Raw genomic sequence first — 15,203 nt, forward strand, 5'->3', positions numbered from 1 at the left:
AGGATGGGGGAAGAGAGGTTCCAGTTGTCCCTGTTAGTTTTTTAAAAAAGAAAGCTCCTGAAGCAAATGTGCAAAATATTAATATTTTAATGTGTTAAAACCGGGTAGTAGGCTCGTGAGTTATATTCCCTGTACTTTTTATGTGTGAAATATTTCATAATTAGCCATGTGAAAATAAGTCCGAGCTTAGTGTTTAGGATGTAAACTAACAGTCTTCCTAGCCTGGAACCTCCTCTTAGATTTGACCAGGTCCGAGAAGTGCCTGTGCTTGGAGCCCTCTGGGCTCTTACAGGCGCCATACTCTGCTGTTTTTTTCTCTTATAGAAATGAGTAAAAGCCACATGTTTTAATTATTTTTTTCCATGTTTTCCTGATCTATATCCTTGTGTCAGGTGATACAGTGCTATGTTTTCCCAGAATGAAAAGTGGGGCTTTGGGGCTCAAGCGGGTTTGTATCATCATTAATCGTTTTTAAAGTTGCATGATCAAAACTTCAGCATGCAAATGAGACCTTTTGCTCTGTTTTAAGGGCTCTGGAACTGCTGGGAAAACAGGGAGTTTAGGAAAAAAACCTGGTAAGTTACAAACCCTGATGCTTACTTTTCAATGTTTTGAATGTAATTGATAGTTGCTCCCCATCTTTGTGTATTAGGGCCAGAAGCCTAAAATAAAAAGAATCTTTCCTAAGAGTGGTGAGAGTAAGTCCTTTCCTTGGAATCCATTAATAATTTTACTTGGTTATGAGATTTGTCTGTTGCTTCACACATGAAGAGTGGAGACGTTACCTAACAGAATGTTCTCTTGGGTTGTCGAGAAATAATTCAGGTGAGGCCAGGCACGGTGGCTCATGCCTGTAATCCCAGCAGTTTTGGAGACCGAGGCAGGTGGATCATTTGAGGTCAGGAGTTTAAGACCAGCCTGGCCAACAGGGGAATCCCGGTCTGTACCAAAAAATAGAAAAATTAGCCAGGCATAGTGGCATACACCTGTAATCCCAGCTACTCGAGAGGCTGAGGCAGGGGAATCACTTGAACCCGGGAGGCCAAGGTGGCAGTGAGCCGAGGTTGCTCCACTTCACTCCAGCCTGGGCGATAGAACAAGACTCTATCTCAAAAAATAAAATAAAATAAAATAAAATAAATATATAGATAAATAATTCAGGCAAGATGCTGGGAAGTTATAATACATGGAGCTGTAGGATTATGGGCTCAGCTGCTTCTCCGTCTTCCTCTTAGGCTTGGTTAGCCCTTTTTCATTTCATAACAATGCATTCCCAGGACACAAACAATGGAGAAGATTAGAGTGTAGGTCCCATTAATGTAGAAGCCATAGGATGGTTTTCCTCGGTACACATTGAAGGTACAAAATTGTAGTCATGCCTCTGAATCCAAAGTGTTTTAGTTTATTTCAGTAAAATCACATGTGCTATAAATAGCACGAAAAAGAAAAGAAAGAAGCGGATGTGAAATAATACGGTTTCTGTGGCACGTCTTCCTGGTCTAGGTCATTTGAACTTTTTGGCTATCATATTCTTAGAAAATTATAGGTTGAAACAGTCACTGAATTGCCAAGAGACGGATTTGCTTGTCTGTCTGGTGCCCAGCTCCAACTGGGCTTACATGGCTAGGGAAAAGAAGGGAAATTTCACGTAGTCTAGGATTTTATTTTAGTCAGATAAATACTGGATGGAGTATTTAGTCAGATAAATACAGTGGATGGAGATACATTGGACCACCCCACCAAATCTCCGTTTTAAGTGTAAGTTTTCTAAGTTTTGTACACTTGTCATTCCAGAGGGTCCAGATATTTCATAGATGAAGCCCAGGTGGGCTTTGCTTTGCACTGAAACTAGCAAGAAAGGACACAAAAGACTGCAGAGAATGTTGGGGCAGATTGCTGGCTGCGTATGCCAGGTCCCTTGAGGAGCAAGAACATCCAGTGCCAAATAGGACACTAGTTTGGTCTTTCTCCAAACCATAAACTCTTGGAACCAAGAGCTGGTCTTTGGTGTGTTGCAGGAGAGTCCTCATCCCAGCGTAGACATCCCAGCTGGAGCTCCCAGTCAGAGCCTAGGCTGGGCCAGTAGACCATGCTGTGGCCTTTCTTGCTTGCCCCAAGCTCTGCAAAGCATCAGGCAGGGCCAGGCCTGCACCATGACCGCCAGGTGCTTCTATCCTGGTGGCCGACCCCTGATAGCATGCAGAACAGAATGAGAGCGGCTTGCTTAAGGGCCAGAGTCTTACTTGTTCCCTGGAGTGAGTAGAAAAGTAGGAAATCTCGTCAGAACATGAGACCTTTTTGCGTTCTTCCTTTCCATTCTTCTTTACTTCATTCCCTCTTTCTTCTTTTTTTTCTGTCCTTCTTTCCTTCTTTTCTCCTTTCGTTCACAAACCACACTTGGAGAGCAAGGGTAGAGGAGCAGAACAGTTTGTTCTCTATTGCTTCTAGAAGTTCAGAAAGCAGTAGTTGCAGATGAGCCAGAACTCAGGCAGAGAAGGGTTCTGTCTCTTCATACTCAGTCTCCTGGGCCCGTGGAAATGGTGTGTTTCAGAGCCTGGTCTGTGGTACCGCTGGAGTTTTTCCCATGGGACTTTTCACATTCAGGAAAAGTACAGAACTGTTCACATTTTTTTCCCTGTGCTGAATTGTTTTTGCATAAAGTTCCCTTCTTAACTCCAGGTCCCTCCTGTAACGTGAAATAAAAAGAAAGAAATTTGCCCTGCCATGATTTGCACCTGATATTCAGGGATCACTCTCAAAATGTGAGCCATAAAGAAGAAGGCTGTGTCGTTGGGAGTGAGAATCTGCAGCAACAACATAGAAATAAGCCCCTGCCGGGCTCCCAGTGGTTTCTGAGGAAAATGGGCTTCTCTTTCTACTGTACTTGGCAGCTAGAAAAGCTATTGAGTCCTTTAGTCACTTCAAAGTAGCACTTTAGCCATTGGGTGCTACTGTGCTGGGGTGGGTGGTGAATGAGGCCCCACCCTTGGCCTCAGGGCATTCTGGGTAATTATGGGAGGGGTGTGACAGAAGGTGCCAGGAGTGGGCAAGGAGCGGACTTCGTGGAGGGAAGTTGGTAAGTAAGTTTCACGGGATGACAAGGGAGTCTGCAGCCCACTGAGGGCTCAAGGATCAGCCAGGCCCTTGAATGCCGTGTCTGCCTGGTAGCTCTGGGAACGGGCGATTCAGGGAGCCTTACTCGTTGGGTAGAAATCCAGCTCAATACATTGGTTTTGATGTGTTCATCTGTGAACCTGGGAGGCGCCTGCATCTTCTTGGCCTTTTCTCCTGCTGACTCTTAACAGTGCACTGCCGTGTTTGATCTTGTTTTTCAGAAATTGCCCAGGTTATTGCCTCATACACCGCCACCGGCCCCGAGCAGCTCACTCTCGCCCCTGGTCAGCTGATTTTGATCCGAAAAAAGAACCCAGGTGGATGGTGGGAAGGAGAGCTGCAAGTCAGTGTCTTTTTTGTTTATTTACAATTCTCCATCCAAGTTTCAATACACAAAATCTCAAAGGGACGCTATTTTATTGTAAAGTACAAACCACCCCTCACCACCTAAATTCTGTATTTGGATAGTGAGAGATGCCAAATTTTCTGTGTTTGTTTGGTTCCTAAGTTTCAGACAGCCGGTAACAGATTTCTGAGAGCTAGGAGCGCATACGAAAACATATCTTTCCCATTCCTGAATTCAGATAGAGTCGGCATAGTGAGAACTCATATGACGAGGGATGCCTGCATATCCTTATGTGCCTTGGCATTAGAGAGTGGAGCTTTTCATCAGTGGTATTAGAAGGTGTGGCACAAGAGCAGATTTCTTTGCATTCAAAGCCACATCCATACATCACAGTATTTTTAGTTCCCGTGTGTGTGCGCGCACGTGTGTGTGTGTGTATTGTTAATCATATCATCTTGTTTACACATTTTACCATTCCAGATACTTCCTATAAGTCTCATTTCCAGAGACAAAGATGCTTTAAAAAGATTACTGTTACGCAGTTCTCATGGTAAAACTTCTTAGAATCATTGGTGGATGCCCAATCTGCAAGAAAATTTTCAGTAGGAGCAGAAAATGTGCATGGTCTTGAAGTGACCCCCACAGATCACTCATGATCTGCAGGGGAAAACACAATAATTATAGAGTGGGGAACTAGGACAAGACCTGAATGAGGTGATCAGAATGATGAGCAGTGGGGAGACCAGAGGACATGGTGTGTGTACAGCTGTGCCGGGAGGGAGGAGGGAGGGAGTGACTGGTCTTCAAAACCGTCAGGATCATAAAAGACAAAACCTGTCGAAAGGGGGCTAAAGAGGCGTGAGGACTGGCTGCAGTATCTAGACTCAGTGCAGTATCTAGACCCTGTGTGAAAGAAAACCACGCTGTCAAGGACATTTTTGGGATAATGGACAAAATTGGGTTATGGACACTACATTAGACAAAATTACTGTACCAGTGTAAAATTTACAGAAAGCAATAACTGTACTGTGGTTATATAAGAGAATATTCTTATTTTTAGGAGATACGTGTTGAAGTATTTAGGGGTAGAGTTAAGATGTAAGCAACTTGCAATCAGATGAATCAAAAAAAGAACTTGCAGAGAAGAGGGTGGGGGGGGAGGGAGGGAGAACGCGCACAAATGAGGGAGCAGCTGCTGCCAAGTGTTGACAGTAGGTGAATTCGGGTAAAGGGCCTATGGGTGTTCTGTGTGCTTTTCTTATTCTTGCCAATTTTCCTGAGTTTGAAATCATTTCTAAATAAAAAGTTGCCTTTAAAAAGTTACTACTATAGCAGTTACTTGAGAGGTAAGCCAGCTGACTTTTCATACAGAAAGTGTGTCTCCCTCCCCGCATCCTCCCCCATCCAAAGTGAAGATCAGCCTCAGACTGCCAGGCGGGCACCTGGCCACCTGCTTCATAGCTTAGTGAAGGACAGGGCTTGCTCCCTGGCTTGCCCACATGGGGCCTATGGAAGGACTGAATTTTCCAGCAGCCGTCCGTCTCTCTGGCGTTTGTTGAACGTGGGCCTCTGCGTAACACAGGGGGGCCTCAGTAAGGCTTGAACGGATATAGGAAGGAATGGTTTCTGGAATGCTTTGTGAGGAAGGGGCCCATGGGAACCCTTTGGTGGCTATTAGTGGGCCTGTAGACTGACTTACCCAATCTGCTGGTATTTGTCTGCCCATGAGCAGGACGGTATGGAACTACGTAAGTTTGAGGGGGAAGAGGGAGGCAGGAAACCTTTGCCATGCAGTGGACTAGCCACGGAAGACAGACCCTCAGGTGCTCCTGAGGAATGGAGGTTGGAACAGCAGGAGCAGGAAGGAAGAAGGCCTTGCTGGGGAAGGCCTCGGGTCTCACACAGTCCCGTCTACCACTCTGTGGAAGTGAGCCTGAGGCCAGGACAGGAAGAGCCACACTGGAGAGCTGAATATATAAGAAACGCATCTTGGCCAGAATAGAAGGCACAACCTGGAGTGTAACTAAAGATGAAACTTTCCCTGGAGAGTTTGCTGATGGACACCCATAAATGTCCAGATACTACTCACTGGTTAAGGAATCTGACCTCTGGAGGCCTGGAAATCCACTCCTTTTTGTCAGCATGCCTTCTCCTGTGCTGGGGAGGGAGAGGCCTCCTTAGACCCTCGGGTCCCACTCCCTGCTTAGAGTTGTGCTGTATCACCCATTGGTCCTTCCAGCATCATGCCCCTGTCCTGTTCTGGAGACGTGGGAGACTCCCATCGCCTGTCCTCCTTGCCTGCCAGGGGAAGGCTTCCTGCGGGGCCCCTCTCCCCGGTGCAGCCTCACGTCTTACCGCTGAGCAATGGCGTCTCCACTCCAGCCTCTTTGAAACACCAGCACCCCCTGCTCTCCTGCCTTGCTGCCTTTGTTCATGACATTTCTCACCAGCGGCCAACCAGCTCCAACCTCTCCACTTTCGCAAGAGCTGGGAGATCCCACTTCTGGAAGCTCTCTGTGACCATCCCAACCAGAAGCACCGTGTCCCTCCCCTGAGCTCCAGCACTGGCCCCGTGCCGGCACCACTCTTTAGTATTTTATATTACTTTGCTTTCTGTGCACATTTCTTACTTCCACATGTAGCTGACTAGCACCTTGGAGGCAGCAGCCGTATTTTTCAGTCCCCACACCTCTAGCACTGTGCTTAAGTGAGTGTTTGAGTGGTTCTTAGGATTCTCAATAAAGTGGCTGAGTTGCCATGACCCAGGAGAGCTCCTGGCGCTGTCACCAGAGTGACTCTCAGCGTGGATCCACAAATGAGGAAACACCAGTGAGTTCTGTGCTGTGCTGCAGAGGTGTGGGAAAGAGTGGTGTCATTGCGAGCAGAATGGTGGTATACTCGGTAGATAAACGTGGAAATTTGTAACCAGATGGCTTCAGTCATCGGCAGGTTCACTGTAAACATAAAAGCTTTAGTCCTTGAGCCAAGGGGATGGAATCTATCAGACCTCAAGGAAAGGGAAACCTGCTCTGTGTTCTGAAAATGACCTAGAGGTATCCCTCTTGATAAACTGGCAGGTGGGAGGGCAGAGGTAATGTGGTGGAAGTTTTCTTTTCTTTTAGTTTTATTTCCTTATTTTGGGAATAGGTAATTATAGTCACATGGTTTAAAATTCAAAAGTTACAAGGGGATATAAATGTCTCCCTCCCACCTTGTCCCCAGAGGTGGCTGTTTCGATCAGAGCCTTGTTTCTAGACGTGTGTGTGTGTATGTGTACGCATGTGTGTGTATGCACAAGTAGTTTTGGGTTCTCTTTTCTTGGTGGTGTACAGAAGGGTAGTCAAAGCCCGACTCATGATCCCTAACTCGAGTCTTTTAATGGGATTGTGTCCTAACTGCAAAACCCGCCTCACCAACTTTGTTATAAACTCCCCGGGTTTATAGGGACAGTCATCTACTGTCCCTTCCTAACAGCATGGTGCAGAAACACTCCATAAATGAGTCTTGTGTTGAATCAGATTGAATTAAGTGAGAAAGGAATGGCGGTGAAAAATGTGGCTTTAGTCATCACATGGGCCTACGGGTTTGTGAAAGTAACATTGAGTCTCCTTGTGTTCTGTGTGTACTGCATGTATGTCATCTTGCATCTAAGGATGTATATTACCCATAAAGGAGCATGCAGACACATGAGTGCATCTTGGCTTGCCACTAACTGCCTGTGGCCTTGGGGCTGTCACTCAACTTTTCATCTGGAAATTGAGAATAATAATACTATTATCCTTCTGGAATTGTGTGCATAAATGCACAGGGCCTGGCTCATAAAAAGTACTCAGTGAGGGCCGGGCGCGGTGGCGCACGCCTGTAATCCCAGCACTTTGGGAGGCCGAGGGGTGCAGATTACGAGGTCAAGAGATCGAGACCATCCTGGCTAACACGGTGAAACCCTGTCTCTACTAAAAATACAAAAACAAAATTAGCCGGGCATGGTTGCGGTGTGCCTGTAGTCCCAGCTACTCAGGAGGCTGAGGCAGGAGAATGGCCTGAACCTGGGAGGTGGAGCTTGCAGTGAGCCGAGATCGTGCCACTGCACTCCAGCCGGGGTGACAGAGCGAGACTCCGTCTCAAAAAAAAAAAAAAAAAAGAAGTACTCAGTGTGTATTGGTGGCCATTATTATTATTATTATTATTATTCCTAAAACCCATATACAGTGTTGGCATTAACCATAATGTCTACATTACCTGAAATTAACAGCTGAGTGCTAGCATTACATGAGTAGAATTTCCTGTCCCAGGCAATCCATGGTATATCTTAATTTTGTGATCCACACAGTCTAGCCGAAGCAAAAACATTCTGGGCTTTGCTGACCAGTGATTGCCACAATTTGAATTTTTAGCTATGGTGTTTTACTTTTGTGACATAGTAATCCATAGATTTTACCGTTAATGTCATTTGTTTTTCAGTTATATGTAAGCTTTACATAAGTGCTCTGTTATAAAGTGAGCTGTATTATAAAAGATGCGCCTTTAAAAATGTTTGATGTAATTATTTTCTTACTAGGCACGTGGGAAAAAGCGCCAGATAGGCTGGTTCCCAGCTAATTATGTAAAGCTTCTAAGCCCTGGGACGAGCAAAATCACTCCAACAGAGCCACCTAAGTCAACAGCATTAGCGGCAGGTAAGGAGTTTCGCATCTCTAACTGGAAGATGGTCTGCATGCCACTTGAGTTTTTCCACTTGATTTTCTCATTAAATATCTTAGGTTGTTTTTCACATGTGCTTTAAAGCACTTCCTGTACTTGCTGGGACTGACACCCAACTAATGTGATATGGAATATGTCTTTCAAAAGGACCAGATATCTAAGTGGCTTTTCTGTGCTGGATACAACAGAACCCTTGTTGGAATGCTCTTCTTGCAGGAGTCATGAATGCTGTGGCATTAAGGCCACATTTTCCTCTTGATTTCCTTCCAGCCATTTAAATTGGGGTTTAGGCTAGGGGGTGAGGTGACAGAAAGGGACACCCAAAAATAAACGGCTGGGGTCTCAGTAGGTCATGAGATGGAGCTGGGGGCCACGGGGGTTGGGGGGCTATAATGTGGTGTTCACTGAAGACCAAAATAGCTCCCCTGTGACATTCACTGTGGGCAGAGGGGGCTTCGCTGGGCAGGCAGGATGTTGTACTCACTTTCCTGGAGGACTGGAAAAGAACAGAGCACAGCAGTTGGCCCAGTTGGCTATTTTCTGATTGAAGGGACCAAATGAGATGCTTCAGCAAGATCTGAGAGAGGTGAGGTCAGGGGGAGCAGATTTCTGCTTTAGGTCTTTAAGCCATCATTCTTGGTTGGCTTTTGTGGAAAGTGTAGAATTTTTGTTCCAATACCTTGTGGTTAAATATCTGTGCTGTATGTACCCAGTGAGATAAGATTAAAAACTGGCAGCCTTCTCAAGAAATTAAAGGATGGGCAAACTTTGTGATGAGCCGCAGTCCCCACTGGGCCTCTTTGCTTGAGCTGTGGCCTTGTGTAGGCTGAGGAATGTGGTTCCCGCAGGGTTTGCTGTCCCCTGGAGAGATGTGTCAGTATCCCTCCACTTCCATGTACAGCCCCTTCCTCAGGCCCGCTGAAATTAGTTGCTGAAGTGATTGAATTAGCTGGAGAATTTAAAAAGCCTAAACCTATTTATTAATAGGTTGGTTAAGAAAGATTCATAGGGACTGTGACCTGTTGGTGCAGACTCATCTGAAGTAGAAGTGCCAAAGAATGAGAACAATTTTACCTCCTGTAAGCTTGAGAGAAAATGAGAAAAGAAAAATTGTTCTTGAGGGTGGAGATTTCTTTCAGGACAACATTTTGAGATGCAAAGATACAGCAGCAGAAAAATCTTTTGAAACACTGATTTTAGGCCTGGCATGGTGGCTCGCGCCTGTAATCCCAGCACTTTGGGAGGCCGAGGCGGGCGGATCTCTTGAGGCCAGGAGTTCGAGACCAGCCTGGCCAACATGGTGAAACCCCGTCTCTACTAAAAATAGAAAAATTAGCCAGGCGTAGTGGTGCATGCCTGTAATCCCAGCTACTCAAGAGGCTGAGGTAGGAGAATCGGTTGAACCCTGGAGGTGGAGGTTGCAGTGAGCTGAGATCGTGCCACTGCACTCCAGCGTGGGCAACAGAGCGAGGCTCTGTCTCAAATAAATAAATAATAAATAAATAAATCACTGGTTTTAGTTTTCCCTAAGATTTGGAATTCTTGGAGGTCAAATGATGATTACCTTCCACTTTAAACCAAAAAGGAAAAATGATAGTAAAGTCCCCATGATACATAGCTGTCCTGTGCAGCAGAAGATAGGATGGGGTTGGGCTGGTCTTTCCAGAGTCAGCAGTAGGAAGGAGTTCCGCTGCACTCAAAACGAAAGCCCTCGATTAGCACTGTACATTTTCTGCTGACAAGTAAACATGAAAAAGAGGACGATATCATAAAAACTAAAGACTTAGTGTGAAAATTTTGTTGTTGTCTTAGTTTTTAATTCTTCACCTTTATTGCCCACACTGTAAAAAGCCCAACAGAACAGTTCCACCTACTGTCACCCTCTTCTGAAAGGACAGAAATAGTAGCTGGGAATGTTGAATGGCTGCGCGGTACCCGTTGTGCATTCTCCGGCGGGTGTGCAGCCGCTCACCCAGCCCTGTCTCCTGCAGTGTGCCAGGTGATTGGGATGTACGACTACACCGCGCAGAATGACGATGAGCTGGCCTTCAACAAGGGCCAGATCATCAACGTCCTCAACAAGGAGGACCCTGACTGGTGGAAAGGAGAAGTCAATGGACAAGTGGGGCTCTTCCCATCCAATTATGTGAAGCTGACCACAGACATGGACCCAAGCCAGCAATGTAAGTGCCCTGGTGGCTCTGTCGCCTCGCCTCTCTGGTATCTTCCCGTAAAACATGCAGCATTGCTCTGATTCTGCTGAGCTTTGTTTGCAGAACTTAAAGCTAGACCATTGCTGCATTCGCAGTCGTCTCTTTGAAGACCTTCTGTAATGCAAGAGTTTATCTCATGGGGTTTTATTTCTCTTTAATTTTCATTCCTTCTGTAGCATGTCCCCTCCCTCCCCTCCCTCCTTTTTCCTTTTTTTTTTTAAATCATTTTGGCACCATGCTGTTTACATGCCTGACTCATTTTCCTAGCTTGAATTTTGCTCATTGTTTTGTTTTGCTTATGTGTTGTTTTCCTCCTTTTTCTAGGAATCATATGTTGTCCATCCCCCCCTCAGGCTTGAAAGTCCTCAAAGAGACCCACTATCCCATATCACTGCCCAGAGGGATGATGGGAGATGCAGCCTTGATCATGTGACTTCCAGCATGATCACCTACTGCCTTCTGAGTAGAAGAACTCACTGCAGAGCAGTTTACCTCATTTTACCTTAGTTGCATGTGATCGCAATGTTTGAGTTATTACTTGCAGAGATAGGAGCAAAAATTACAAAAACACACAGGGTAGTGGGTCCTTTTGTGGCTTTCCTAGTTACTCAAATTGACTTTCCCCCACCTTTGCACAGGTGCTTTCAATAGTTTTAAAATTATTTTTAAATATATATTTTAGCTTTTTAATAAACAAAATAAATAAATGACTTCTTTGCTATTTTGGTTTTGCAAAAAGACCCACTATCAAGGAATGCTGCATGTGCTATTAAAAATTGTTCCAAATGTCCATAAATCTGAGACTTGATGTATTTTTTCATTTTGTCCAGTGTTACCAACTAAATTGTGCAGTTTGGGGCTTTTCCCCCTTACCATAGAAGTGCAGAGGAGTTCAGTATCTCTGTTTTAAAGACGTATAGAATGAGCCCAATTAAAGCGAAGGTGTTTGTGCTTGTTTGTGTGTATCAGCTGTACCTTGTTGAGCATGTAATACATCCTGTACATAAGAAATTAGTTCTTTCCATGGCAAAGCTATTACCTTGTACGATGCTCTAATCATATTGCATTTAATTTTATTTTGCACAGTGACCTTGTAGCCACATGAGAAAGCACTCTGTGTTTTTGTTCGGTCTCAGATTTATCTGGTTGAGTTGGTGTTTTGTTTGGGGTTTTTAATTTTGCGTGTTTGCATAGCATAAAATCAGTAGACAACACCACTGAGGTCGTTACGATCAACGATATCCACAGTCTCTTTTTAGTCTCTGTTACATGAAGTTTTATTCCAGTTACTTTTCATGGAATGACCTATTTTGAACAAGTAATTTTCTTGACAAGAAAGAATGTATAGAAGTCTCCCTGCAATTAATTTCCAATGTTTACATTTTTTAACTAGACTGTGGAATTTCTACAGATTAATATGAAATGGAGCTCATGGTCCGTTTGTGTGTTAGATATGCTGTAGCTGAAGCCCTGTTTGTCTTTTAAACACTAGTTGGAAGCTCTCAATAAAAATGCCTGCTGCTCACAGCACAGAAAATGGGGCAGGGGGAGCCTCAAGCACAATCTAGCTGTCCTCCTAAAGACTCTGTAATGCTCACTCCCCTCGCGTTCTCCCGGCGCTGTCGGGAGGCTGTGCTGGTGGTCGTGTAGAGGTCCTTCTCCTTTCACATGGTGCAGAGAGCGAGGACCTCTCCTCCTCGTTCAGTTGCACTTCAGTATTTTCACGGATATGAATGTAAAATATATAAATATATAAACCTGCGGCTTTAACAACTGTAATACAACCTTTTGAATTAGTTCCGTGTATAGATAATTAAATTCTTCATACAAAAGTTAGATGGAAATGTCTCTGTGTTCTTGATGTTGGAACCTGGCAGTGGTGGTGAGGAACCAAGCAGACTAGATGTCAGCAATGGGCCTGCTGCCCACGTGTCAACCATGACCTGTGCTCTTTGAAATACAGACATTATCAGAGGCTCGCCGAGTCTTTGTTGAACAGCCCTCCCTCTCCCCGTGCTCTCCACCTTCCCTGATCAATATGCAAATGATCATTCCTTATAATACCAGTTTCGAAACATAGAACTCTACCACCCAGTTTAGCAGTTCAGTCTCACCGGGCTTTTGATATAAGTTGTCGACACATTGAGGGTGTGTGATTTGGCTCAGGGTACAAACCATTTGTCCAAAAGATGTATCGTAATGTACTGGTGAACACCCCCAAAATTATGTGGGTAAAGACAGAAACTTGCACATGCCCCACGTTGTCTGGGATCGGCTTCTGCCTGGCACACTTTGCAGAAATAAACCAGCGTCCACATTGATGCCACTGTTTGCTACAATGACCACATGCTTGATTCCATCCTCATGAGCTTCACTTATTGGACCTCTCCTGCCATTCAGTGGAAAAGTGGTTTCCTTCCTCAATTCAGCAGATATTTGGTGGGGGGGATGTCTACCATGAGTTGGGTGCCCCATTGGCTTCTGGGAGGAGTGTGGTACTCCGTGGAAACAGAGTCCCTGTCTTCATGGAGTTCATATTGTAATGGAAGGAACAAACAGAAAACCAAACTCCTGCAATCCATATAAATATGCACGGTATGTGTGTGACAAGGTGACAAGTTCTGCACTAGAAGTTTGGATATGAGGCACCACTGAGCAGACTGGCAGGGCCAGGGGAGGGTGGCTGCAGGGCAAGGATCAGAGAACCTTCAGGGGGTGGGGCGGGGAGTGCCATTTGAGCTGAGACCTGAAGAGTAAGGAGGGAGGAGCCAGATGGAGTGGGGGAAGAGGTGTGGCTATTGTAGATGGAGCTGTCAGGACAAGCAAAGGCCCAGGGGTGGGCGGGGAGATCCTTCTCACTGTCCCCCAGGCCACCCCCGTGTGGAGCAGTGGTTGAGTCTGCAAGTCCCATCTCTTCCCCAGGATCCCTTCAGCTGTGTAAGCCAGTGTTGCTTCTCCAGTCTTGAGTTTGGCTGGAAGGGATGCAGTTGTCAAGGTGGGTACTACTCCATAACACTCTACCTAATTCACTCCAGATGCCCCACGCCCTCACTGTAGGCCATTTCCCCAGGCTTGCCTCCAGCTTTGTGAAGTTGACATGGGTTGTTCCCCAGGAAGCTGTGCTTTCCCCTACAAATCATTGAGTTTGCATTTGGTTGTATCCATTGGACCCCATGATTCTCAGCCAGTGGGAGTGCTGCTGGTGTCTCATGGTTAGAGTCAGGGATGCTGCTCCTCATCCTGCAGTGCACAGGACAGTCCCCCGCAACAAAGAATGATCTGGCCCCAGATGTCACCAGAGCTGAGGTTGAGAAGCGCAGGTCTCACCCCACTGGCCACTGTGGTTAATGTTCACCTGGTTATTCACCACCAGAAAGGCTGCCCCGGTAACTCCTGTTGAATAAATTTAATCACCTAAGCTCATGTCGTGTATCTGCAGCATCAAACGTATCTCAGAACCTTGGTTTTATATTTCAAAATCTTATTCTTGTTTATTATCCCCCATACTCTGCACTTTGGTACTAGATTAAACTACTTCAGTCATATTCACAAGAGAATCTGGTTAACAGAAAATTGAGTACAAGGGAAAGAAAGCATCTTTCTTCTAATAAATTAGTGAAGGGATACTAGGTATCTCCTATGGCCTCAGAGTTTAAAGGTGTCAGGTTTTGGTTTGTTTGTTCTTTAGCTATTTGTTTTTTGTTTTTTAATTTTTTTTTTTGAGACAGTCTTACTCTGTCACCCAGGCTGGAGTGCAGTGTCGTGATCTCGGCTCACTGCAACCTCCACCTCCCGGATACAGGCGATTCTCCTGCCTCAGCCTCCTGAGTAGCTGGGATTACAGGCATGCACGTGGGTCTGGCTGCATTTTGTATTTTTGGTAGAGACAGGGTTTCACCATGTTGGCCAGGCTGGTCTCCAACTCCTGACCTCAAGTGATCCACCCGCCTCAGCCTCCCAAAGCACTGGGATTACAGGTGTGAGCCACCGTGCCTGGCTTACTTTTTGTATTTTTAGTAGAGATGGGGTTTCACCATGTTGGCCAGGCTGGTCTTGAACTCCTGACTTCAGGTGATCCACCCACCTCGGCCTCCCAAAGTGCTGAGATTACAGGCGTGAGCCACTGTGCCCAGTCTGTTTTGTTTTGTTTTTTAAACTGATTATTAAATCATTTAATTTCATATTGGTCTGTGTAAATATATTTGCAAGTGAACTTTGGGTACAGTTTTGCTCCAGTAGCATTAGACAAGATGAGTCCAAATGAGATTGTCTTCATTGTGCACTTACGAATCACTCTCCTCTGGCCGGCTGCCTCTCCACACTGCAGAGCAGGCCTGCAGAGTTGGGGAGCCATGGTGGTTGAGTTCCCCAAGTGGCCCAGGCCTCAGACTGCCTCTGCATAAAAGGGTGTCTGGGAGAAGCCGATCTAAAGCAGTAACTCGGCCCTATGTTAAGTCACAAAATATCTAACCATTACATGCATGGTAGAAACTGGTATCTTCCCTGTTTCTGGAAAGGAATCTGGGCAGACCCAGGCCGCAAATAGTAACGATTGGGTTATCTATGCTTTCAGCGATGCCATCAGAAGAAATAGTAACACTAGCTTAGGAAAACCCTCTAAATATTAGGTTTAACCATATGAAATTGTCAATTCTTACCTATAAAAACAGCAATCTATAATTCAACCTAGTACAATATATCATCACCTGGCACATGGTAGGTTAGGTTAAAAAAAAATGCCTATTGAATGAGTGAATGAAATCAACCGGTGACTATAGAAAACACCAGTCTCAGCTTTTGACACAGACCACATCACCCTCAGAGAGGAG

General features: G+C 45.4%; 1 protein-coding gene across 26 annotated transcripts in view; it reads left to right on the plus strand.

Annotated features, from left to right (window-relative positions):
• Positions 1 to 15,203, plus strand: part of ITSN1 (intersectin 1) — a 257,361-nt gene that overhangs the window by 183,788 nt on the left and 58,370 nt on the right. For 8 of the 26 annotated variants that reach the window (XM_017028428.2, NM_003024.3, XM_017028431.3 and 5 more), the window contains 4 exons: positions 530 to 575; positions 3,336 to 3,457; positions 8,019 to 8,136; positions 10,153 to 10,344. In XM_017028428.2, coding sequence (XP_016883917.1) covers positions 530 to 575; positions 3,336 to 3,457; positions 8,019 to 8,136; positions 10,153 to 10,344 — 478 coding nt within the window. Of the gene's footprint in view, positions 1 to 529; positions 576 to 3,335; positions 3,458 to 8,018; positions 8,137 to 10,152; positions 10,345 to 10,698; positions 12,211 to 15,203 lie in introns of those variants that run through there. The other 18 variants (XM_047440945.1, NM_001001132.2, NM_001331009.2 and 15 more) reach the window with 4 other exon arrangements.

Source organism: Homo sapiens, chromosome 21, assembly GCF_000001405.40.
Source record: "Homo sapiens chromosome 21, GRCh38.p14 Primary Assembly".
NCBI classification, from domain to species: Eukaryota; Metazoa; Chordata; class Mammalia; order Primates; family Hominidae; genus Homo; species Homo sapiens.